Source organism: Homo sapiens, chromosome 18 (assembly GCF_000001405.40).
Source record: "Homo sapiens chromosome 18, GRCh38.p14 Primary Assembly".
In the NCBI taxonomy this organism is placed as follows: Eukaryota; Metazoa; Chordata; class Mammalia; order Primates; family Hominidae; genus Homo; species Homo sapiens.
The window spans coordinates 61,730,711-61,757,137 of record NC_000018.10 but is presented as its reverse complement, the minus strand read 5'-3'; the positions used below and the strand labels follow the sequence as shown (position 1 = coordinate 61,757,137).

The following is a 26,427-nucleotide window of genomic DNA, read 5'->3' as shown; positions in this document are numbered from 1 at the left end:
CAGAGCCTGAAACCATATCTAGTAATCACTTCAAGCCTCACTAGGGAAGAACAGCAGGTAGGAAGCTGTTTGGGATTTATAGTGCCACTTACTTCTACAGGTAAAATCGGAGTCATAAAAAGCAAGAAGAAAGAGTTCTTGAGCCCTCCAGGGTAAGTAAGGGAATATACTTTAAAATTCTGATTTTTATTACTCTAGAAAAAATAAGACACCTTAGCCCGTAGCTGGAAGACTAAACTGCATCCTTTTTCTGAGGCTGTTATTCAGTCGAGTCTCTGATTGTTCGCCTCCACTGAGCTCAGACAGATCTGGTGCTCTCTCTGCCTGACTCAGTTTCTTTACCTTTGAAGTGGAGCTAGCAACGTCAGCCAGCTTCTCACACTGCATGCAGGATCCTTAGAAATAAAAGGTATCATCTTGGAGCTCTACAGTTCTGTAACGATGACCAAGATTCACTCTGAGGGCAGAAAAATTAAAGACAAACATGTAATGCTTTTTCCAGGTTTTTTAATACCAAAATTGGTCCAGGTGATTCTCTCTGTTTCCATGTTATTTATCTTCCTCCCTTCCTATTGAAGGCGTCATATGGAGTGTTGAAGGCTGGTGGTAAGGAGGAAAAAGGAATGAACACTGAATCAGTAATATCTGAGCTTTCCCAGGCAAATCTAGTCATGACTCAGCAAGGAAGCCAAAGGAAAACATCACTGCATTACACCTGTTAGAGAAGAGGCCTGTCTGAGGCAGAGGGAAGCTCCGATTGTGAGCCGCTGTGCAAACCATTCCAAATAAAGAGAGATTTCTGACCTTTACCTCCCTCCCATCCTTCCCCCCTCAACTCTGGGAGAGAAGAGCCCTCCTCTTGGTTTTGGAGTCTTTCCTCTTCCACTTGCTACTAGCTCCTTTCCCTCCCAGCAAACATCCATGCCTCTCTCGTAAGATATAAGCAAAATTATTTGCTGAAACTTGTTACCCCTTCAAGAAAACCATATTGCTGTCCTTCCTTTCACACTGCCAGGAATGTCAGGAAAAGCATGGCTGGTGTCAGGCTCAAATCTTCACTTTCTCTTTAGCTATATGTCTCTGGGAACGTGATTTCCCCTCTCTCCCCGCCCACCCCGCCAGTTAAAACAGCAACAAAAACATTGATAATGATGCCTGCAAGAATCATGAAGCTGAAATAAGATCACGCATATAGGTGCCCAGCAAGGGACATGGCCAAGAAAAACGGAGGTCCCAGGGATTCCTCATTTCATGGCCAAATTTGCTGGAGACTGGTTGGGACCTGCCAGCTTACCTCTGCAGCTCTGCGCACGCTCTTGAGGGGCTTCTGCTTTTGCTGACCTCTAGTCCATGTAACAAGGGTAAACACTGCCTCTCCCTAGAAATCTTGCCTGCACTGGTTTCCATGACACAGCATTACCTCAGTGCAGCTTACAAAACAGCTCGCAGAATTCCTCCAAATATTTAGAGTCAAAATAGATGGCCAGTGCTCTGCCTTCAGTGCAGGAACCTGTGCTTCCTCAGAGGTCCCGCAGTTTTGGGTCTGGATCCCTAGAGCTCTGAAAACCTTATCTCGAGGGCCATCCTGAGCAGCTTTTATTCCAATGCTGGGGGGATGTGCTGTGCAAATCAGAAGCAAGTCCTGGCCTTATCCACCCAGTTGGGGGGCCACAGATTTGGTGAAGTTGTGCCTGTTACTTGGGAGGTGAGTGGGTCGGACATGAGATGGGCAGAGGACGTGTTTGGTGGTCCCTGCTCACCCCCATTCATGTTCTTGGAGTCTGTTACTCCCATTGAGTCCCACTCCATTATCCATGGGAGAAACTGAGGCACAGGTATCGAAGGGGGTGGGATGGGTAGTCACACCAGGCTGGCAGCAGCACAGCCTGGTAAAAACCTGGGCCTCTGTCTCAGTCTGGAGCGGGCTCCACTACACCTGCAGCCTGTGGACAGAGAGTCTGCAGACAACATGTCAAACTCTGTGGGTTCTCTGCAAACAAAGTTGCTTGTGGGGAGAAAGGCAGAAAGTAGAATGTTTAGGCTGACTGATGGCTGAACAGTGGGTGGAAAGAGAGGCTGGAAACTTGACTGTATAGGTGAGAGATGAGAGACTGGGGAATAAAAATAAACAAAAAGAGTAGAGAAAGAGGCCGGGCGGGGAAGGGGCCTGCAGAAAGGTGTGTGATGGGCTGGTTGGTCAGCTGCCGCTGGGCCCAGACGGAGCTGAAGGGATTTGTGTGCATGCAGAGACCGCTTATTCTGTTGTTCCACCAGAAATTGAGGGTAGGACCTGGAGTATTGCACAAAGCCCTTGCCAGCTCTAAGACTTGAAAGCAGGGCTGAGAGGGAGGGGAGGCAGGGGAAATACACTGGCCCCCTATTTCCATCGGGAGAAGGAAGCTGAGAAAACAGCAGAGGAGAAAACAGATTCGAAGACCATGAGACCTGGAAGAGATTGTTTAATTTAACCTCTTCCTCTACAAACAAGGAAGCTGCAGCCCAGGGAGGGTAAACGACATCCCAGAAGGTCACTGAGTCTTCTCCAATCCAAACGTTGCAGGTGTCTCCTCCCAAAGGGTATCTTCAAGTCCTAGCCTCCGGTCCCTGGTAATGTGACCTTGTTTCCAAACCTGATGGCTTTGAATGCCATCAAGTTAAGAGGAGGTCATGCTGGAGTGGCTGGGCCCTTAATCCAATATGACTGCTGTCCTTAGAAGAAGAGGACAAGAGACAGATGCACAGGGAAGAAGGTCACGTGACAGTACAGGCTGAGATAAGAGGGATGCATTTATAAGCAAAAAATGCCAAGGGTTGCCAGCAACCAGGAGAAGCCAGGGGAGAGACACAGGACAGACTCTCCCTCTGAGTGTCCAGAAGGAGCCAACCCTGCCAAAACTTTGATCTTGGACTTTGGCCACTAGAAGTGTGAGAGAATGCATTTCAGTTGTATTAAGCCACTCAGTTTGTGGTATTTTGTTATAGTAGCCCCAGCAGGCTAATATGCTAGGCTGGGGAAAGCATGCACGTGCCAAGTATAGAACCGCCCCTGAAATGCAGCAGAGCCCGCAATCACACTTGCTGGCTTCCTGTGGAGTCTGGATCTGCAGATGGATTCACCTTCGTATTAGTTTTTCTTGCATTGCTATAGAGAAATACCTAGGATGAGTGCAGTGGCTCAAACCTGTAATCCCATCACTTTGGGAGGCCAAGACAGGAGAATCGCATGAGCTCAGGAGTTTGAGACCAGCCTGTGCAACATGGTGAAACCCTGTCTCTACAAAGAAAGCAAACATTAGCTGGGTGTGGTGGCACGTGCTGTGGTCCCAGTGACTTGTGAGGCTGAGGTGGGAGGATCACTTGAGCCCTGGAGGCAGAGGTGCAGCTACGCTCCAGCCTGGGTGACAGAGCCAGACCCTGTCTCAAAGAAAAGAAAAGAAATATCTCAGACTGGGTAATTTTTAAAGAAAAGAGGTTTAATTGGCTTATGGTTCCTCAGGCTATACAGAAAGCATGATGCTGACACCTGCTCAGCTTCTGGGAAGGCCTCAGGAAACTTAACAGTCATAGCAGAAGGCAAAGGGGGAGTGAGCACTTCACACAGTTGGAACAGGAACAAAAGAGTGTTGGGGGGGAAGTGCTACACACTTTTAAACAACCAGATATTGCAAGAATTCCCTCACTACCACAAGAACAGCATTAAGGGGATAAAGCTAAGCCATTCATGAAGGATTCACCCCCATGATCCAATCACCTCCCACCAGGCCCCACCTCCAACACTGGGGATTAGAATTCAACATGAGATTTGGGGACACAGATCCAAATCATATCAACCATCTACCAGTGCTAGGTTAACTGGGAGGGCTGAGCAGATGTGGAGAGGTGCCAGGGGACTCAGGGGACAGGCAGAGAGAGTCGGCCTGGGCTGGGTGTTGTCACTGCCTCCTCTACAGGGCCTGCACCTGCACCACCAGGCTCTTTGCCCACTGCTGCTCCTGCCTGAGCTTCGCTTCTCAGGGGATGCACCCATGGTGCCACAGTCCTAAACACACAGGGGCTTCTGGCCCTTAACCCTCTCTGATCCTACACTCATAGCCTGCAGGGATCGCGTTGGTGCCCACCCTGGTCTCCTCTCTCTCAGCACCCTCCCTCTCCGAGGCAGCCCTGTAAACTCCCAGGATCCATCCAGTCCCTACTTGGTTCTTTACCACCTCCCACACCACTCCCTCAGTCTACCCCATTTGACCCATCTGGAAGGAGTTCAGCAAGAAGTCCCCTCCCAAATGTAGAATCCTGCCCCTCCACCAAGGCCACCTAGACTGCACATACCCTTGAGGCCTCCGCTCTGTCCTCGACACCAGCAAGGCCCCTACATTGAGGAGGTTAGAATGGAAAGCTAAGGGGCAACACCTCCTGATGTCCTAATAAGAAAAGGTGTAATTTGAATAGCTGGGGCTTCAGGAGGAGGCTCCTCAGGCCCCTCAGGGAACGGCAACTCCCTAGAGGGAAGAGTGGGGTTCCCAGCGCCCTTAGCCTGAGAGCTTTCCTTCCTTCCCTCTGTCAGGCCTTCCCAGTGTCAGGTCTCGTCCCCTCTGTTTCCACCCTTGTCACTGTATTGCCTGCTCAGGTAAGGTGTGCCCATGTGAATTCAGGCTGTTTCTTTAAGTTTAGGGGGCCTTTGTATTAAAACTGCAGATTTCTGAGATCTATACCCAGGGATGCTGCCTCAGGAGGTGAGGGGCTTGGCCTGGGATTTGCATTTTGGAACTAGCTTTCTAGTGTTTTTGCTGTGGGGTGGTCCTCAAACCCTAGACAATATTGTCCTTAGACAATCTAAACACTTCCGGTGTGGGAGATTTTGGGGACAGTGGCAGGTGATGGAGGGGACTACGTTGATGGCTCAGTCTTTCTGTGCTTCCTTTCAAGGGGGACCCCATCCGATGCCACTGGGCATTGCCCCAAACCTGGGGCCTGGGATAAGCCTTCCCAGGGGGATCTGGGCAGAGATGTGGAGATACTGCTGGCCATGGTTATGATAGTCAGGGAGGGAGTCACGCAGGGGGGCTGCACCTAGGTTGGTGTGTGGACTGGTAGAAAGTTCTCTACAGGGGACAGCAGGGAAAGAGGGAGGAAGAGGAGCCAGCAGAGGGAAAGGCAGAGGGGTCAGGGGCCTTGTGGGGCTGCAGCTTCCTCCAGATGCCTCGACGATGCCATCCACAGCTACTGGTCATGCGCAGAGCAGCTGCCCTCCTCCAGGTGGAAGCTGCTTGGCAGCACCTGGCTACGTGGGTTATCTGTGGCAAGGAGGGATCGCTTCCTACGTCAGGAGCTTGCACCTAGCTCAGAGAGGGAGAGCTAGGACAAGAAAGACAAGAAAGAAATGAAAAATCCAGCCTCTCCCCACCGGCCTTCTCTGAGTATGCCCTACCATGGTATCCGGCTGTGCTCACTCGAACCCACCTCCCAGCTCAGGAAGGAAAGATGGGGAGATCATTCCATATTACAAGGGTGGTGGAGTGGGGATGCATTCAAATTGCTCTGGCAACACTTTGCCTGTCCCTCTGTGTGGCTGGCTGCCTATCACCCACACCCAGGCAGGCCCAGACTCCCAGGGTCGGGGTGCCATGGTGGGGGAATGAGCCTCTGTCTCTGGATCACGTATTGAGAGACACCGTTGGGTGCTGCTGGGCACTTGGCATCTGCAAAGTATGCTCCACACCCCACGCAGGTGCCCTCCCCTTGATAAGGGAGGCTGAGCAAACATCTCAACATTAATCAAATACGTGACCTCAGGAGTATCTCCCGTATTCCTTCAAAAAGGAAATCTTCAAGCTCATTCCTGTTGTTAAGCCAAAAAATAGAGAATAAACAAATAAATAAATAAATAAATAAGGAGCATAAATAAAATAAAAAATAAAAATAATACATAATAAATAAATACATAAATAAAATAGGAACTCCAACAGAAATGGAAAGCAGACCACACACTTGCCTATTCAGCTACTTTTATCAGTTGCTTCGCCTCTGGCCATCTCCCACTAAAATCCGAAGCCTTGCCCAGCTATATTTAGAACCTGCGAAGAGAATTGTGTGCTGAGTTTAAAAGATATGTTTTGTTTTAATTAGACATATGTCTCACATGTCACCTGGTGCTGACAGCAGTCACTGTAGGTTTTCTTGGCCCTGACAAGGGAAGGTGAATCAGGCAGAATCTGTCTTTGCTCATTCCCTTTGACCTGTAGAGTGAGCTCTGTATTTCTTTATGGTATAATTCCTTAGGTCCAGGGGCAAAATAGTGTAGTTATTGTCTTTATAGCGGCATGATTTGTAATCCTTTGGGTATATACCCAGTAATGGGATGGCTGGTTCAAATGGTATTTCTAGTTCTAGATCTTTGAGGAATCACCACACTGTCTTCCACAATGGTTGAACTAGTTTACAGTCCCACCAACAGTGTAAAAGTGTTCCTATTTCTCCACATCCTCTCCAGCACCTGTTGTTTCCTGACTATTTAATGATCGCCATTCTAACTGGTATAAGATGGTACCTCATTGAGGTTTTGATTTGCGTTTCTCTGATGCAGTGATGATGAGCATTTTTTCATGTGCCTGTTGGCTGCATAAATGTCTTCTTTTTAGAAGTGTCTGTTCATATCCTTCACCCATTTTTTGATGGGGTTGTTTGATTTTTTTCTTGTAAATTTGTTTAAGTTATTGCAGCACTATTCACAATAGCAAAGACTTGGAACCAACCCAAATGTCCATCAATGATAGACTGGATTAAGAAAATGTGGCACATATACACCATGGAATACTATGCAGCCATAAAAAAGGATGAGTTCATGTCCTTTGTAGCGACATGGATGAAAGTGGAAACCATCATTCTGAGCAAACTGTCACAAGGACAGAAAACCAAACACCACATGTTCTCACTCATAGGTGGGAATTGAACAATGAGAACACTTAGACACAGGACGGGGAACATCACACACCAGGGCCTGTCATGGGGTAGGGTGAGGGGGGAGGGATAGCATTAGGAGATATACCTAATGTAAATGACAAATTAATGGGTGCAGCACACCAACCTGGCACACGTATACATATGTAACAAACCTGCACGTTGTGCACATGTACCCTAGAACCTAAAGTATAATTTTAAAAAAAGAAAAGAAATAGTGTAGTTATTAAGAGCAGTTACCCTCGAGTCAGACTGAGTTTGAATCCTGGCTATTGCACTTATTGGCCTTATGAGCTTTGGAGGCTGGATAATCTTCTCTATGCCTCAGTGTCCTCCTCTATAAAATAGGATTCCTGATAGTACTTAACTCATAGGGTTGTTGTGAAAGTTAGATGAGTTAGCAATGTCACATGCTCAGGGTTGTGCAGGGCACGTCCTAAACACTTAAGATGCATTATCTTTATTTCAGTTCATGCTCTACAAGTATTTGCCATCCTTTTCTGCTTTTAAAGCACTATCAGCAAATAGCAGGAAAAGTCATCATTGTCAGAGTAACACACCGTACTTTGACCCACACCCACAAAATAAGGCTTAAGGAAATTTTTTTGCATGAACGTCTGCAAATTTTGGTTTTTCCTCCTAAATACCTCCTGCTCCATTATAGATGTCTGAGAATTCAGAAAATGACCACTGCTTTTACAGTAAATTTGGCAAAGGTGTATATTTTCTTTCCACCCAAAAAGGGAACTGGAATTCTGTATCCCCAGTCCTTATTCCTGGGTGTCCTTGAATTTGTGCCTGGTTTGAGGGAGATTGGCTGAGGATTCAATAACATCACTCTCATGAAGTGCTAGCCCCGCATATCCTGGACGCTCCGTAGGGATATATTCCCATTCTTTGTTCTTCCGACCTGTTTACCAGCCTTGACTATTGCTACAGCTGTGGCAAGCCTTCCCCTCCCTGCCCCACCGGGATGATGACTGCATAGAGACAATTGTTTTATAAACCCAGTCAAGGAGCAAGGAGGAAGGAAATGCACATATGATCTCCTAAATAAAATTAGACCACCAAGGCTGAGAAACGTTTAATTTGTGGCCCATGTTACAGAACTGGCTTCCTCAGATAGGGAATTTTCTTTTTGCCAATTCTTTGATTCCAGAAGTAGCCATGTCAGGTGGCAGGGGTGGCATCTCTCCATGGTGCCCAATTCCCTGGCTGGCATTTGAATGAGCAGGGTCCTTTTAATCCTGTGGCTGCTTACCCCAGAGTAATAGCAGATGGAATCTGCTTTTTATTACTTTTGCCTGTTGCCCCTGAGTCCACACCAGAAACCACTCAGGCAGGATCTGGAAAGCATACAAACCTCATCAAATAAAACGGAGGAACAAGTCCACTCTGGCTTCTGAGAACTCCAGGAACTCCTGGAAGAAGGTGCTTCATCTCTGCAGTGCTTGGAACCCTGGCTGACAAGGAAAACGGTGGGTTTACGGGGTTCAAGGAAAATAGAGTGTCACCTAAAAACCAGACCTGAAAGTGGGGGGATGTGGAATGCCATCCTCTATAGCAGTTTTTTCTGTAGTAGCTAATTACTGAGGCACTAAATCAATTATTTGTAGAAACCCTGTTCCTGAGGACCTAGCTTCTGCAAAGCAATTTATTCCCAAAGATATCCTTTCTGCCTCTTTCTTTCTCCCAGAAATTTATTCTCTGCTTCCCCTACTGGGAAAAGAGTTGCCCCTTTAAGTATAGCTCATAGAATTTCCACATAGGCCAAGAATCATCCATCAAGAGCATACACAATCAGAGAAATCTTTATATAAACACTGCAGTTCCCCTACTGCACGACAATGACCAGATTTCCGATGTCCCCACCTTCCACATACCCTGGCACTGGTGTTGTCCAGCTGTGGTCAGTTCATCCAAAGGGCGGGTTTTCAATGCTCACGTTTCCTCCTGTTACGGGCTCCAGCTTTACCTGCCTCTTATTGTTCTCCTTCGCCTAGAGAATGCTGAGTGTAACAATGACCCCAGGAATTCAAGCCAAGGAGCCCAAGAGGGGCCAGATGGCGCCTTCATTCCTGGTGCCAGAACTGTGGCGTTTCTCTGAATGTAAGACTTTCACGCAGACTCTAAAATATTATCACGTAAGCAAAGAAATTTGTTTTTTGTTCAGAAAGAATGACTGGTTATTGTCAAAGTTCTGCAACATCTGTGCCTTAGTACTGGCTGTTAAGTGGCCTTAGAGGAAGACCATTTGATAATCAGCCCAGAAGGCCAAAGAATTGTATGACTTCCAGGTGGGCCCCAGTGTATGCTTGGGTGGGGAAACATATTGGTGCACATGCTTTTCTCAGTGGGAACTAGAACGTGAACTCTGAACATTTCCTGCACCTATTCTAAGCTTCACAGAAAGTTTTATGTTGAAATTCTGTTAAGCCTTGCTGTAGATGAAGAGGTACGAACTGTCTGAAAATCATGTTAAATGTCTGTTAAAGGGCCAGGCATGGTGCCTCATGACTGTAATCCCAACACTTTGGGAGGCTGAAGTGAGAGGATTGCTTGAGCCCAGGAGTTTGGGACCAGCTAGGCAACATAGTGAGACCCTGTCCCTACAAAAATAAATACACAAATAAATTAGCTGGGTGTGGTGGTACACGCCTGTGGTCTCAGCTACTTGGGAGGCTGAGGTAAGAGGATTGCATGAGCCCAGGCTGCAGTCCAGCCTGGGTGACAGACTAAGATCCTGTCTCAAAAAATATATAAATAAATAAATAATGAATGTTTGTTAAGAGACATGAATCATTTTTGTGTGTATAGTTGATCCTTGAACAATGTAGAGGTTAGGGGTATGAAGCCCCCACCCCCGACCAGTGTGGTAAAAAAATCATATGTAAGTTTTGGCTACCCCAAAATTTAATATCCTACTGTTGACCAGAATACTTACTGATGACATAAGGTCGATTAACACATATTTTGTATGTTATATGTATTATATGATTTATTCTTACAATAAAGTGAGAGAAAAGAAAATGTTAAAGTCATAAGGAAGAGAAAATATATTCACTATATTAAGTAGAAGTGGGTCATCATAAACACCTTCATCCTTGTCATCTTGACACTGAGTAGGCGGAGGAATAGGAGGGGTTGGTCTTGCCGTCTCAGGGGTGATGGAGGCAGAAGAAAATCTGCAAAAGGTAAACCCATATTGTTCAAGGGTCAACTCTATGTTTAAATGTATGAGTTAACAATTTTTTACATAGGAAGAAATACAGGTGCTTTGAGGAAACTGTTCTGAGTGAAAGCTGGGAATTTTCTGATTCCAGGCTCTGTATTAAACATTTCTGGTTGTCCAGGGAATGATCATATTCAATTTCAGTGCATACCAGGACTTCCTAGGGAAATTGATTGGTTTGTTTCTTAAAATGTGTACAGGCAGGGCAATTCTGACTGAGGACAAGGTAGATAAGTGTAGATGGATGCCTCTGAGAAACATTCCAGGATCAATAACTATCTCCCACCACGGTTAGAAGACCACCAAGTAGTTGCTCTAAAGAGTGAAAGTTAAGTAAGAAAATACAGAGTCATACTGACTGTGAGAAAACCTGCAGAATTAAATCTTACTGGGGGAAATCAGAGCATAGAAATAAGGAGAGGATAGACCAGAGGTCAATACATTTTTTGTAAGGGACCTAATGCTAAAATATTTAGTGTCTTCTAGTATCACTAGATGATGCTAAATATCTTAGACTCTGCGGGTCGCAGGGTCTCTGTCAAAACTACTCATCTCTATTGTGGTAGCAGGAAGGCAGCCACAGATGCTTTGTCGATAAATGGGCATGTTTGTGTTCCACTAAAGCTATTTATAAACACTGAGCTTTGAATTCCATGTAATTGTCATGTATCACAAAATATTCGTCTCTTAATTTTTTGTCAACCATTTGAAAATATTAAAGCCATTCTTACCTCATGAGTTGTACAAAACCAGGCAGTGGGTTGGATTGGGTGGTAGTCTGTAAACTTTTGAGGTAACAATAAACTGGTGTGAAGCAACTCAGGCCACCAGATCCCAAGACCCAAAGATGGGAATTCTTTAGAAAAGTGTATTGTAATCAAGAATATACATAAAGTTTAGATTGTATGAAATAATGAATGCAGAATTTAAGGACTGTGAAGAAAAGGTCAAAGTTTATCACTTATATCCATGTTCACCCCCAGCCTGCTCCCACCCCACCGTTTTCTTCCCTCCACCACACACCCACACCCTGGCATAAAACCATGCATTATCTACTGTGGTAGTTCTCAAAGTGCGGCCCCTGAATCAGCATTTCCCATGCCAAACCCCTGTTAACTTCAGTAGGGATTGCACCACGTTCAAGAGGCCGAAGAAGAGATCCAGAGCCAGCGAACAAGACATGAGGTTTTATTGAGGGCTTACCTACAGGGGAAAGAGTCCAGTGGCAGCGAGCTGGACAGGAGAACCACCTTATGTACAGAAACAGTCCAGTGGTAGAGGGATGGACAAGATAACCACCTTACAGTCCAGTGGAGGCCAATTAAGTAGGAAAACTGCAACTGCTTGCCAACAGCATGCGGCTTATATAACATTATCACTTAACACTCTCCTTTTAATGACCTCTGCCTTGTAACCTTTATTTAATCAAAACTCAGAGCCTCAATTTCCTGCATAGCCTATGTTCCATGGAACAGGTCAGGGGCTCAGATGTTCCTCATTGACAAGGAATGAATCTCCAGGTTGGCCACTCCCAGATTCCAGCTTGGAACTCACATTCAGGTGTATCTACCATACAGGGTTGTTCTAAGGATATGCTTAGGTTATTGCTCTCGGGTGCATTTGCCCTACAGCATCCCCTGGGAACTTGTTAGAAATGCATGTTCTCAGGTTCCACCCTCTGACCTGATGAATCAGCAACTCTGAGGGGGCGGTGGCCCAGTGACCTGTGTCACTTAAACAAATCCTCTGAGTGACTCCTAGGAGCAGTCCAGTTTGAGAACCACTGATGCAGGGAGTGAGAGCAGTGAGTCCAGCCTGGAGGGTCACAGCAGCTCTGCCACATTTTGGCTGGATGATCCCGAGCATCAGTGTCCTCCTTGGTAAAGTGGGGGTGTGAATGTAACAGAGAGGGAAGGCATAGTAATCAACTGCCTGTAGCCACTTCTGCTTTGTAAAGGAGACGGTGCATTCATATCAAAGGGAAAAATATACTCTAGGCCTCTTCATTCCACTGATCATGGCTAGAGAAAAGAAGGGAAAGACTGAGATTTCAAAAGTGATGCCAGTTCCGAGACCTGGAGACACTCATGGATGGACAAGAAGATCCCAGAGCCTGGTGGAGAGCTAATTTGAATTTGGGAGGCAGGGAGTGGGTGAGCCCAAAAGATGGAGAGATGGAGAAGAAGGAAGACCATCCTGTGAGGGAGGGGTGGAAACCCCTGATATTTGGTAGCATGGCCAAAAGACTTGGAAATGGGGTGACTAATGCCCAGTTTTATAGAAACTGGTAAATTTGACCTTGACCCACTGCAAGGCTTCATCTCTCCGTTGTCTTAAACCTTCTGTGAAGTTGGCCTCAGCACAATGCTACTGGGTAAATGTGTTCAGAAAACACACACACACACACACACACACACACACACACACACACACACACACACACACAAAGAAGAGCCATGTTCCCAGTCCTGGGCCACAGCTGCTGGGGAAGCAGAAGAGCTGAGTGAGGGATTGAGAGGGACAGCCTGAAACTGTGGAGTCAGCAGTGCCTTGAGAATTTCAGTTCCTGGGAATGTGCTACAATCTTGGTCTTCCCAATGGATTTAAGATAGGGGGGTTAAGCCAATTTTATTTCAATCTCAAGTGACAGAGTGACCTCAGTTGAGCCTGGATTGCATTGATAGCTACAGTGGGAGCCACTGTGGGAATCAAAGTAGAAAGCATGTGAATGCTAGCACATGGAATTTGGCACTTAGATTCTCAAGGTTTGGTAACCACAGTTAGTGTGGGAGTTGTTAATGAATACTGTTATTTTTAAAATTTCCAAGCTTGTCTATTTTGAAAAGGAATCTATTTTTTTTAATAAAGAAGAATTTGATGGAAAATTCTGCTGCCTCCCGGTAAATGTTTCTCTTAGTTAATTATGATCATAGATGGCTGCTGGTTGGATCATGACATCATCGGAACCTAGGCAGGGCCGCTCAGCTGGAAGCAGCTTGTTTGAAACTCCCTGAGGAAATCATCATTTTACTTTCACTGGGCTTGAGAAAGACCAGTGTACTAAGGCAAAAGCGTTGACAAACTATGGACCAAATCTGGTCCATGGCCCTGCTAAGAATGGCTTATACATTTTTAAAAGGTTGTTAAAAGAAAAAACAAAACAAAAAACCCCCCTAAAAACAACAAAAAAACCAAACCAAAGAATATGTGATGGAGATTGAATGTGGTCCACAAAACCTAAAATTTTTATTATCTGACTTTTCACAGAAAGTTGCTGAGCCCTGACTTAGGCCATGGTGGTGGTCAGACCCCACAGTTGGGGACTGCAGGGGTAGGGGAGGAAGTGTCCCAAGCATGGTAAGCAGCCTGGAGCCCAGGGATGCACCTTGTGTTTAAACCTGGCAGTGCATTTAGTCAAAGAAAAGGGCTGAGATCACATTATTCTGGCCACTTATCCTGGCCCCACAGAGCAAGGCCCAGGGAGGAAAAAGAGGCAGCCCAGGTCTCAGGACTGAGGCTTTAACATTGCAGATATGCAACCTCCTCTACTCCTAGAAGCCTCATGAGGGAGCCTCTGGAGTGGACAGTTGGCTTAGCCCATGGGAAGGACAGGAGTGGGGCAACTTGAGGACAAGGTCACTGTCTGTAAGGGAGGAAGGAGGTGGGAAGCAGGCTCAGGGGTGGGAGAGGACTGAGGACAGCCAGCTGCCGGGGGCCGAGGCCTTGGTCAGCTCAGCAAGCTGGTCCCATGGGGACACTGAGAGAACGGGCTGCTCCCTAAGGAAACTCGAGTTTTGGGTCAGTCTGATCCTACCAGACATCACATGAGACACCACGCAAGTGACCTCTACCCTGCCTTCTCCCTGAGAACATGGCTCACCATTCTCTCCTTGCTTTACCCCACCACCCTACTGGAAGAAAGAGAGAACAGCCAGCCTCCAGGGCCCTTCCTTTCCCTGGCCACCTTCCTTCAGACACAGCATGCTTGGATTCAGAGTAAGAAAGAAAATGAGAACTGAAAACTGGACCTTGTTTCATTCAAGTGCCTTGTTTTGAATCCTGTTTTTTTCTGTTCCTTTTTGGCACCGTGGGCATTCCTGCAGAGTGGAGTTTGAATAGAGGCACATTCTTCAGAGGGGAAAAGTCCCGCTGCCTGGCCCAGGGCTGAGCTCTTAGGCCAACACATACAGGGCTCTGGGTGGTTTGCTGATTCAGCAGGTGCTGGCTGCCCTTGGCCACCTTAAAGAGTCGCAGGGTGTCCCCTGAGCAAGCTCTTGGTGGCCAGATAAGTGACTGTGCTGGGCCCTGGGTCTCCTGGGGGTGGGAATCTTGCAGTCATCATTGGTGATGGTCATGTGGGCCTGAGCATGGTGTCAAGATGCTGGCACCCTGCAAGGGTGGAGCGTACCTCTAGAGATGCCCACTGTCAGAGTCCATTGTTGATTGTTATTTCCCTGGCATTTTTCAGAATAAGAGAGGTCACATCAGGGGAAGGTTGTTTTAAGCTGTCTAACAGAAGAGACCTTGCCTATTTTATTCCCTGCTGAATCTCCACTGCCCTTAACTGTGTGTGCCTCATGGAGGACACTCAAATATCTGTTGATATTGGTTGGGCATGTTGAAAACTCTATTTTTAAAAGAAAATAAACCCAAAAAGAAGGGGCGAGTCACTACTCAGACAGTTGGTGATTCAATAATCTATTCTGGAAATTCTTTCCCTGTAGACTCAGTCACTCAATTCCATCGAACCCCTACTGTGTGTTTAACTTTGTAATAGAAACAGAAAGATGTACTAGACTCAGGCAGTCACATCTAGATGAGAAAATGAACCAAAACCCATGTTCCGGCTGACTTACCTCTCCAGACTGACTGCACGCAGTTCTGTTTTGAACTTCAGTTTCAGCCCCATTTAATACTTGTATGTTGTAGCGAACAGAATATAGTGTAATATCTTAAGTGCCAGAAATCACTAGGTGCAAACCCTGGCTCTGCCAGTTTCTAGCAGTGCGACCTTAGGCAAGTTATTTTAATGCTCTCAGCCCCAGTTTTCTTCTGTGACATGGAGGTAATAATAGCCTCTATCTCAGGGTGTTGTTTTGAGGAAGAAGTGAAATGATGTGCATTATTTCAGATTTTATTTATTATGCACATGGCATTCCTAGGAGAGCACCTGGAGCAGAGTAGGAGTTTAATAGATTTTAGCTATTATTGTTGGGTATATATTTTTTGTCTTCTCTGCCTGGGATGCTGCCTATACTGCAGGCCAACTTTCCATTCATCCTCTAAGGCTCAGTTCAGCCAGGACAATACTTCCTTAAGATGAAGCATCTTTGGTCATTTTTCCTCACCCTTTTCTGGGAGGCACACTCAGGGGTGTCTCTTCTGTGCTTCCACTGTGACTTGTGCACATCTGTCCTGAGAGTCACTGCCTGGTGCTGTTATTTTCAGCTCCAATGTCTGCCTCTTCTTTAGACCTAGAGCCCCTTTAAGTCAAGGTACCAGTTTACTTACCCCCTACCCTCTTGGCTTACGTGATTTTTTATTGCGTTAGGAGTACAAGTGTTTGCTGAATAAATGAAGGGACAAGTAATATTCCATCATTTCAGGAATAAAGTATTGTGACAGATAATCAGGTCTTCCTTGAGGTCAGAAGAAAAGGACTAAAGCTTGTGGTATATGTTCAAAGAGGAAGAAAGGACAATTTGACAAGAAGAAGTAAAAGCCCATATATGGCATTCATTATAGTCTCAATGTTGGTGTCTACTCAATATTCATACATTGAAATCCCAACCCCCAAAGTGATGATATTAGGAGATGGGGCCTTTGGGAGGTGATTAGGCAGAGCCTTCATAAATAGGATTAGTGCTCTAATAAAAGAGACCTGAGAGAGCTAACTCACTCCTTCTACCATGTGAAGACACAGAGAGAAGGCACCAGGTATGAATGAGAAAGTGGGCCCTCACCAGACAATTAATCTGCTGGTGCCTTGATCTCAGACTTCTCAGCTTATGGAACTATGAGAAATAAAGCTGTGTCATTTATAAGCTACCCAGCTTGTGGTATTTTATTATAGTAGCCCCAATGGACTAAGACAATATTGTTATATTATCTATAATTTACTTTAAAGCAGCTCTGTTTAAAACATATGTTGATGATGTGTATTTCAGTTTGCTTAATGCTCTAAGCACAGTTATTTAGTATTTGAAGTTTCCTAATATTTCAGAAGTATTAGGGGTAGTTCTGTTATGTTCCAGACTGTGATACTAGCACTTCAGTTATATTTATTTCCAATGGACACCAGAACTTTTGTTTATTAGCATACTGGGTGTTAGATTTTATTTTTTATTGGTGAAACGAGTGGTGTTTGTTGGATCGGTTAGGAAGGCTGCACAGGGGTCCTTGCCTTTGTGTGATTAGGGCATGAGCAGCTCACACCCTCTGGAGTGTCCCCCAAGTCTTAGAATTCTGCTAGATTCTGTGTTCATTTGCTTAAGGAGAATCGTGTCATTTGACCAATTAACTGAACCCTGCTGCTAGCTCCTTGTCACATCTGCTTGGAATGAAAGGACAGAGAGCTAGGATAAACCAGGTGGTCCTATGTTTGCTGAGCTTGCAAACCAGGTGGTCTGATGTTTTCGTTGCTGCTGGCTGATAGGTCTCTCTATGTGTCAGAGTTTGGTCTGAGTCTTGATCTCATTACAGCAGACCACCTGGCTGAGAGGTGGTGGGGAGGAGACTGTGGCCTTCACCCCTCTAACCACTGATGGCTGCCAGAAGGCTAAGAACCTAATACTGTAATCTTGAATGACCTACAGTGAAGGTCAACTTGAAGGAATATATTTGGAGGGCAGTGATAGCAATGAATATGGAAAAGCAAGAATGTATGCGAGGGATACAAACAAGACCACAATCAGCAGGATTTGGGGGCTGATTCAATATGGCAGCAACCAAGACGGTATGTCAAAAACAAGACATACGTGTGTATGTGTGAAGAGATAAATAAGCATACAAAGTATTTCACATAGTTTATTTGATTCTCACAACAGTGCAGAGGTGTGGATCGGGCAGTTATTAGAAACAGAGGTGTGGCCAGGCGCGGTGGCTCATGCCTGTAATCCCAGGACTTTGGGAGGCTGAGGCGGGCGGATCACAAGGTCAGGAGATCAAGACCATCCTGGCTAACACGGTGAAACCCCGTCTCTACTAAAAATACACAAAAAATTAGCCGGGCGTGGTGGCAGGCGCCTGTGGTCCCAGCTACACGGGAGGCTGAGGCAGGAGAATGGCGTGAACCCGGGAGGTGGAGCTTGCAGTGAGCCAAGGTCGCACTACTGCACTCCAGCCTGGGGGACAGTGCAAGACTCCGTCTCGAACAAACAAACAAAACAAACAAACAAACAAAAAACAGAGGTGCAGTGCTATATAAACATGTCAGGGATGTGCTCAAAGTCACACGGCCGAGAACTGGAGAACTGGCAGTGTTGGGATCCAGACTCAGATTTTCAGACCCCAAGTCGGTTTCTCTTTCCATTATGTCTCATAGAGAAAAAGATTATTTTTGTTTGTTTGTTTGTTTGTTTTCATTATTGCTAGTATTATTTTTAGAGACAAGCCTGGCTCTGTCACCCAGGCTGGTGTGAAGTGGCATGATCATAGCCCACTGCACCATCGATCTCCTGGGCTCCAGCAATCTTCCCATCTCGGCCTCTCAAAGTGTTGGGATTACAGACATGAGCCACTGTGCCTGGCCACAAAGATTCTAAGGCTGGGTGACTGGGAGAAATAGAGAGGCTGAGAAGGAAGCAAAGAGGGCTGAGGCCAAGGTACTGAGGAGCAGTGGATGGAGGCAGATAGTGAAAGACTGGTGGGAGCGCCCTCAGATGGAGGAGGAATGAGCCCCTGAAGGAGTCCTTTCCCCCACGTGTGTGGATGACATCCACTCTTCACATGAGAGAGGCACAGCCTCTCTGTTCAGCAAGAGTCAGGCTCGCCAGGCTGTTGCCTAAATCTAAGGACAATTCTGCATAGGAATCCAAGGTGCCCCTACAGCTCACTCTCCAGATGGCAGATTTCCTTGGGCCCTTCCTTCTGTTTGGGGCATCCTGTTTCACCCTCAGACTGCCTCCATTCACAAACAAAAAGAGCCTCTTGCCCTAAACTTAGCTTGGGGAAAAGGATTTTTTCATGCATCAAGGGAAAAGAGGAAACCAAAGCCATAGAACATATTTCCGTTGGCTGTGTCCCTGCTGACATGTGGTGATTCATCAGAGTGTGACACAACAGACCCTTTATGGTGATTAGCACTGGCTTGTTGAGCAAAGTCTCCTATCTCAGTATCCTTTTGCTGTTTCGAAAAACAAGTAAATAAATAGGATAAATAGCACATTCTCTATGGATGTCCACAACACCATAGAATGAGAGCGAACACAAAACACCCTATGTTGGCTTTTTTATTTGTCATCACTTTTTAATTTAGACCAGTGGTTTCCATTGCTCCTGGGGAGCCTTTTAAAAATACAGATTCCTAGGTCTGGCCTCTGCTGGTTCTGATTTTGTAAATATAAAAAAGAGCCTGTTTTCCTCCAGAGAGTCGGCAATGTTTATGCTGAAAGAACCTTTGCTCCTTTGTTCTAGGACAGGCTACAGGCTTGAGTGAAGAGAGAACTTTCCTTATGCTCTTTGCCAATGTCCATGTGGTCTCATTTGATTGGAGCCACTCATCAGATTAGTGATCTTGTGCCTCCAGGCCTGGGCTAGCTCTGTTCTCCATGGGTGCTTTCCCAACTTTTCCATCTGGCCTCAACCTTCTGTTCCTAAATTGGCCTTGACAGATTTAGAAGGTGCCTTGGAGACATATCTGTGCCCAATGAACAACTTAACTTGGCATGGGTCTCTGGGCATGAGGGCTGATGGGCCAGAGGATAGTCTGGGTTTCTGAAAGTAGTGCATGACAGAGAAACTGACCAGGGAAAGAGATTTTTGGGAAACACATTTCTGAGGTTGTCTGGGAGGTGCAGACAAAATCTGGTAAGTTTTGAGGCGTAAAAAGCAGCCTGGAACAAAGGGTTGGAGAGGTTGCAAACTTTATTCCCATTTCTGTATTTTAATTCTTCTTGCTTAGCTTCCAGGTGAACTGGATATATCCCTGGGCAGGCAGTGTACATCTTCTTAGAGCCTTACACCTCAGTGTGAATGAGTATATTAGATTCTCTCCTGAAATTGGGAAAGAAAGAGAGAATGATGTTTCAGAAAGAAAATCAGAAGAGCAGGTGGTTGGTGACCAGAAGGCCGCTCTGGGTCTTCAGCAGCTTTGCCTGGATATGGGGAGGGCACGGGGCACAGGGCACCGAGGCAAACGAAACAGGGACCTGGGCTGCCATGTTCTCTGGGAAATGTTTCATGTGAGTGCTCTGGGTAGAATGGATACAGGTGCATCTCCCATCCCTTAAAGTCTTTTTCTTTTTGGCATCCCTCGGTAATGTAATTTTGGAAACATGGAGAAGTTTCTATGTTTCAAAAGTAGTAGGCTGTAGGTTTATATGGATTATACAGGAAATAACATTGTCTTCGCTGACTCTAGAATTTTTTTTGTTATGGTAAAATGCATATAACATAAAATTTACTATTTTAATCATTTTAGGTGCATACTCCAGTAGCATTAAGTACATTCACATAGTCATGCAACCATCACCACCACCCATTGCCAGAGCTTTGTTACCATCCCCAGCTGAAACTCTGAACCCACTAAACACTAACTCTCTATTCCCCACTCCCCCAGCCCCTAATAAGCACTGTTTTACTTTCATCTCCATGAATGACTCTAGAATTTTATAACTTGGATCCTTTAAGATACAAATCCTCCAAGATACCCAGAAGTAATCCTTGGTAAATTCAGGTAGATTCTTGGATAAAATCAATTGCCTCCTCTGGTGTGTTTTAGCTATTTGTGTCTCCAAGCACCCTTCACTGTAGGGTTATCTTCTCCCTCAGTCCTCCCATCAAGAAAGCTTATAATGCATGGGTTTACAAGCAGGAAGTGGAGAAAACTGGTGCCTCACAGGTGAGCCCAGGAATCGAGGAAATCCTGAATGAACCCCTGAAAGGTGGCCTTTAGTCACTGGGCCAATTGTGAGCTGTTACCCCTAGATTTTCCTTCTATTTCATCTCCTCCCTAGAGAATCCTAAGACCAACCAACAACAGCAATATCATCAACAGCCCTGGCGAGTTCTCTGCCCGTAACCCTCCCTTCATAATGGGTCTTTTCCCCTTCATGGGCTTTGAAGAAAAGCCTGTTCTGCTCCTGCCTTTGTCTTTGGTCTCATTATTTCCCTTCTTCATCAGGTGGGTGCTGAAGAGAAGAGCCCAGGGCCCGTATTTGCAGCAAAGTTAGATCACGTTCATCCAACTGGGAGTTGAGTGTCTTGGCTGCTGGCTGGTGGGCCTACTGATCTGATTAGCCATGAGACATCTCTGGGCAGTTTCAGTTGTTTATGCATACACAGATGCTCATGACCTATCTGATTTGAAAACCACAACAACTAAGCAAGGCAGATCACTTTAGCTTTGCTGTGAATTGGCTCTCTCACCAACCCTCTAGCTCTCAGGGAGGCAGGTTCAAGGTAGCTAATAAGTAACTGATTGTAATTTTTATTTAGCTACGTGAATTTAACGGGCAGCTTAATTGCAGTTGTAGAAGTGAACCACGTAATCACAAATTGGGCCCTTTACATCTGTCACTCGCCACCAAGAGAAATGCTCTGAGTGGAGATCCTTATTTTTGTTTGGGCTAATACTGAATCAAAGAGGTTTTTAAAGTTAGAGAGGTGAAAAGAACGAGGTGCTTTTTTTGGTTGTTGTTCATTTTTTACATGCAGAAACCTTAAGATCCAATCTTGCCTGAGCCAACCAGCAATTCTTCTGTTCCCTTCTGGGTTCCTCTGTTAGCTTTTCAATGGGTATTTAAATCCCAGCTACTGAGTATTGATCGACCTCCTTGTTTAATTACCCAGCAGAGTGCATTCTCAACCAATCCATTTTGCTCCTGAAATGCCAGCGTGCAGCTTGGGAGGGAGGAGGGGATCAATTAATCCTTGTTTGCTTTTTAATTCCTGTTCCGAACATAGTACATTCACACGCAGGTTAATTTTTAAATCCTCTCCTCTTACTTCACTGCTTTAATTCACCCTGGAAACCTCAGTGACCCTAAAGCTCTATCAAGTTCTCCTTATTGCTTATGCAGCCTCATTAAATAGTTTAGCAAATACCTGACTTGGTCATTTCCCAGGCTTCTGCTGGGAACAATCGTCCAAAGTCCCTTAATTTTTTTGTTCCTGTCTGAAGTCCCTTAGGGCAGAGGTGTTCAGGAACTGCTGACACCTCTCCATCTTAACCTCGAGTAGAAGGGAAAAGGAGGGCTTCTTTGTGCCATTGGAGGGCTTGTTCCCGGGTCCTCTTTCTCATCAGAGCTAGCAAATTTTGAGTCCAGATTCCATTCTATTTGAAGGGCTTTGTGAAGGAAGAATATGTGTTAGATATTGGGAGCCCGTAGACACATAAAGAGCTAAAGGATCAGGGCATTGCATTTTTCTGTGATAGTTTAAATGTTGATAATGACCTTTCTAGGCATATGAACAAGATCACATCCTTTTGGTTTTTGTCTTTTTAGAGACAGGGTCTTGCTCTGTCACCCAGGCTGGAGTACAGCCGCGCAGTCATGGCTCACTGCAGCCTTAACCACCTGGGCTCAAGTGATCCCCTTGCCTCAGCCTCCCGAGTAGCTGGGACTACAGGCGTGCACCACCATGCCTGGCTGATTTTTATACTTTTTGTAGAGACAGGGTTTCATCATGTTGCCCAGGCTCGTCATGAAGTTCCGAACTCCAGGGATCCTCCCTCCCTGACCTCCCAGAATGCTGGTATTAGAGCATTTTGAGCCACCATGCCCAGTCTATGCTTTTTTGCTCCATGCTGATTTTTAAACTTAAATTTAAGCTCAAAATATTTAGATAATATCAAGAATGGCAGTCAGCAGAGGGAGTGAGTCTCTTCTATTCTTGATAGGCCATCACTGATCCTCCTACCTAGCTGGGAGTATAAGGAGCCCATGGTGGGGGAGGTTTGGACATTTTGAGCCCAAGCACATGTCTCAGCCTGTAGAAGAGATATGCTGAAGGCATAGATTGGCTTGATTCTGGTGAGCTGTTAGCCACATTTGAACACATCAGCTCCAATGCAGTTTGCTTAGGCACAACCTTGAAGTCGAAGATCAGTCAGAGGAGCTTTAAGGAGCTCTACTGGGAATCTTTTATTGCATCTGTGAAGTCTGCCTGTATTTGGCTAATGTGTGTTTCCTTTCACCTGATAGAGTGCAAAATGCCTTTGAACCCGGGAAAGGATCCCTGAGGGATGAGAGTGCTCCATTCTTTCCCAGGATATTAATGTCGTGGGACTTGGCTGCTTTCAGCTTCTAAACAGTGTGACTCCAGCTAAGAAGCAGGCATTTGACCTTTGGGGGCTTTGATCTTGTATTTTTCTGCTGGTGCATTTAATATGATACCTAAAAATAAACAGACTAATGGGGACTTTTTAAAATAAGGCCACTCATAAATATCACAAAACGCTTAGGAACAAACAACTTCCAGTCCTTCTACTATCTGAGGGAGAGAGAGGCTAAATGGTGATTGCAAATGAGGTTTCCCTGTTATGATTCCTGATCAGGGACAGCTGCCCCCAGGTCCCATAAGCTATGCCTAATGCAAATATGACCCTTTTCAAATTGTTCTGGAAGGTGCTGATAGCATGTAAGAGATGTGGAAAGGTTGCATTATGTATGAAAACACATATTAAGCTGCAGTATAGACTCCATGAATTCCAAGAGGCCAGGCTTTTCACTTTCAGTTTTACGGGGCTCCGGTGGAGTTTCTTACTGCACCAACTCATCCTATTTCCAGGGTGTTTATGTCTTTACTCTCATAGCCTTCCAATCTTGTCCAAAAGCCACCAGGATAAAACAACAGTGGAGGCGCATTTGTAAACTGAAGGCAATTGATTTAGAGTAAAAAAATAAAATGCCAAGCCCCTGGGGACCAACATGTGAAAATATTTTGGTGGCTTCAACAGTGAAAACAAGTTTCAGTGATATTATACACATAAATATTTGTGTAGCAGGTTCTGCACCTTTAATATCCAGGGCAATAACCCAGATTTTGACTTACGCAAAATCTGAGTTGTGCAAAACTGCGTGGAAGGGAACGATTGCATAAGCAGGGATGTAACTGTTCCATTACGTGGTGGGAACTGAGATTGAATGAATCAGTGTATTAGTGACTAAACCCAAAATTGGAAAGGCAGGAGAAAAATCCTACACACACACACACACACACACACACACACACACACACACACACACTTGTTTGTTAATATCCTCTGCCTCAACTTCAATTCTGCTGAAAAAGGGCTTAAGAAAGGCTTACCTACCAGTAATTTACTTGGAGGCATACATGATCTTTAGGAGCAGGGGTGAGGGACGGGGAGGGAAAGCCAAAACAAGAATGCATTATCTAGTAGTATCTAGTATCTAGTATCATTGACACAAGCATCTCGTTCTCAGTCCTGCTGGAACCTTCTGAGAAGCTTCATAAAATGCCCTTAAGAACTGGCCATTAAAGGGGCCGGGGGGAAGCATTTATCCATGAACCCTGCTGTCACTAAACCCCAGTCTGGGTGGCTCTTTTGAGCAGCTCCTTGTTAGAGATGCTCCAGGGCTGGAGGCAGGAGCCAAGGAGAGAAGACCTGGCATGAGGCACCCTCTGTGGCCATATCTGTGGGAAGCTGGCAAAGCCCCAGTGGACCTGGTCACCATGGCCATGGCCAGAGCAGGGGTGAGGCCAAGAGGAACCGGAAGTGATACTGCATGTGACGTGCCTGAAACACACAGGGAGTGGGGGCAGGGAGGTCAAGAGTGACCTAGGCTTCAGAGTGGAGCAGAGTGGGGTTATGAGGAGCAGGAGGCCATATCTAAACGCCAAACGCAGCACATGATGTGACAAGCATACATACTGTTAGAGAGACAGAAGATTTATGTGAAGATGGGCATCTGAGTGCTAGGAAAAATATATTAAAGATGGGGATTCTCCTGGAAATTTGAGGAGATATGTCCTCAGAACAAACAAAAAAATGGTACTCCATCTGCTGTTAATTAATTCAGTAGGACCTGGGGCTGAGTAAGGAAGCAGATCCTCTGTAACTGTCAGAAACAACTGGGGCATCAGCATATCCCAGTCAAGCCCGAACTGTGGCCTGAGCTTCCTGTCACCAGAGTTACCTGATCTGGAAAAATTTGTCTGGTACACTGAAGATGAAATGGTGCCTCCGAACTGTGGATGCTTCCCGCTGGAATGGCTGTGAGGCACTTTCTGTTTTTTCCACCCTTCCTTATAAATGAAGACAACCGGGAATCTGAGAGGGGTAGTTCCCATTGCTGCTCAGTAAAGAGGCAGAAACTAGAACCCAAGTTGTTAGTCAGGGATTGTGTACAGCCATAAAAAAAGACAACTGAAAAGCAACATCTTGAACAACTTGGGGGTTGGTTTTTCTCTCATGACGAGAGGTCCAGAGGTAGATAGTTGCTGGCATTGGTTCGGTGGTGAAGGTGCCAGGCCACATTCTCTGTGACTCTGTGGCCTTTCCCTCAGGATCAGTCAGAAGATGGCTGTTGCAGGAAAGCAGACTTGCCGTGAGAAAGGCGAGGGCTCAAAAGCCCAGCCTGACTTCTGCTTAAATTATATTCCTTGGAACTGTATCACATGGCCACCCTTATCTTGGAGAGTGGCCGAGAAACATAATTTCTTCAGCTGGGTGCTTTGCATTACATCAGGTCTCTCTACTAAGGAAGAACTATAGAATGGGTACTAGGTAGGCATTTAGTGTTCTCATCTGCAGAGGAACCCCAGAAAACCATCCATGTTTTTTTCCCCTCTGGATATTTGAGAAGAGACAGATGTGATGAAAAGCTGTAACGTATGTGCCAAATCATGCCGTCTGTGGTACTTGGCTCGAGTACCACTGGCCCAATCCTACTAACCACAGGACCTCGACTGTATTTCCAGAAGAAATTATTTTCTAAGGCAGATTAGTGCTTTAACAAAACAATGAACATCACAGGCAACCTTCACATGGGAACTTTCTCCTTTTTACTCCCCAAAGACCCAAGAAGTCTGGGAAGATGGTCCTCAGAAGAAGTCAGAGGTGATGGTATGACATTCAGAGGTTAAATTGGAAATAATTGGAAACAATTTTCATGTGAGCTGCATTGTTGCTACTGAGACTATATTAGGGGCTCACTATGAAATGCAGAAGCTAGGGTGTTCATTTGCATCAGGAGAGAAACAAACAGACGTTCCATATACATTTTTCTGCCTAAAACGGGAACAGTTACATGAAGCAAGTAACGCAGGAGAAAAAATAACTGGAGTAAATAAAATGCTAGAAAATCAGGAGATGATGATGAAAGCCAGCAGCAGTTTTTCTCAGGCCAAATTTTGGAACTTTACGTTGTTTATTTCCCTCCACCAGAGTCTGGCTGCTGCTCGGCAGATGTCATTACACAGTATACTGGTTTGCATTTCCAGGCAGTCTGAATTAGCAAATTATTTGTCAAAATAATAAGAATGCCTTTCTCTTGCCACAGACTGGGTGAAAATATTTGCAAAACACATATCTCATAAAGTATTTAGAGTGTATAAAGCACTCTTACAACTCAATAATAAGATAAACAATTTGATTAAAAATGGGCAGATCTAAATGGAAATTTTACCCTAGACAAATGATGACAAATAAGTAAAAAGATGACAAGTGAAAAGATGCTGAATATTATTCATCATTAAGGAAATGCAAATTAAAACTACAATGAGTTATTAGTGTACTTTCACTGGAAAAGCCAAAATTAAAGTGATTGACAATACCAGGTGCTAGTGAGGACGTGGAGCTATGTGCTTGTGTACTGCTGCTGGGAACATAAAATAGTATAGCTACTCTGGAAAAGTGTTGGAGTTTCTTACAAAGTTAAACATATACTTTGTATATGACCCAGTAATCTCACGTATTATTACTGATAATAACCCCAAACTGAAAACAATCCAAATGACCATCAATAGATGAATGGATAAATGTATGCGGTAAATCCATACAGTGAAATATTACTCAGCAATAAAAAGTAATGAACTATTGACACATACAAGAA

General features: G+C 45.3%; 2 long non-coding RNA genes across 2 annotated transcripts; both read right to left on the bottom strand.

The window, feature by feature from the left end:
- Positions 1-490: 490 nt before the first annotated feature.
- Positions 491-1,357, bottom strand: LOC124904315 (uncharacterized). The gene is made up of 2 exons (XR_007066396.1): positions 1,295-1,357; positions 491-600 (listed from the first exon to the last, which is right to left on the bottom strand). It is a non-coding gene; the product is annotated as an uncharacterized LOC124904315 (long non-coding RNA).
- Positions 1,358-2,442: 1,085 nt separating this feature from the next.
- On the bottom strand, positions 2,443-8,962 carry LINC01544 (long intergenic non-protein coding RNA 1544). Its single transcript, NR_103449.1, has 4 exons — positions 8,838-8,962; positions 8,318-8,417; positions 5,990-6,071; positions 2,443-5,352 (listed from the first exon to the last, which is right to left on the bottom strand). It is a non-coding gene; the product is annotated as a long intergenic non-protein coding RNA 1544 (long non-coding RNA).
- Positions 8,963-26,427: the final 17,465 nt, after the last annotated feature.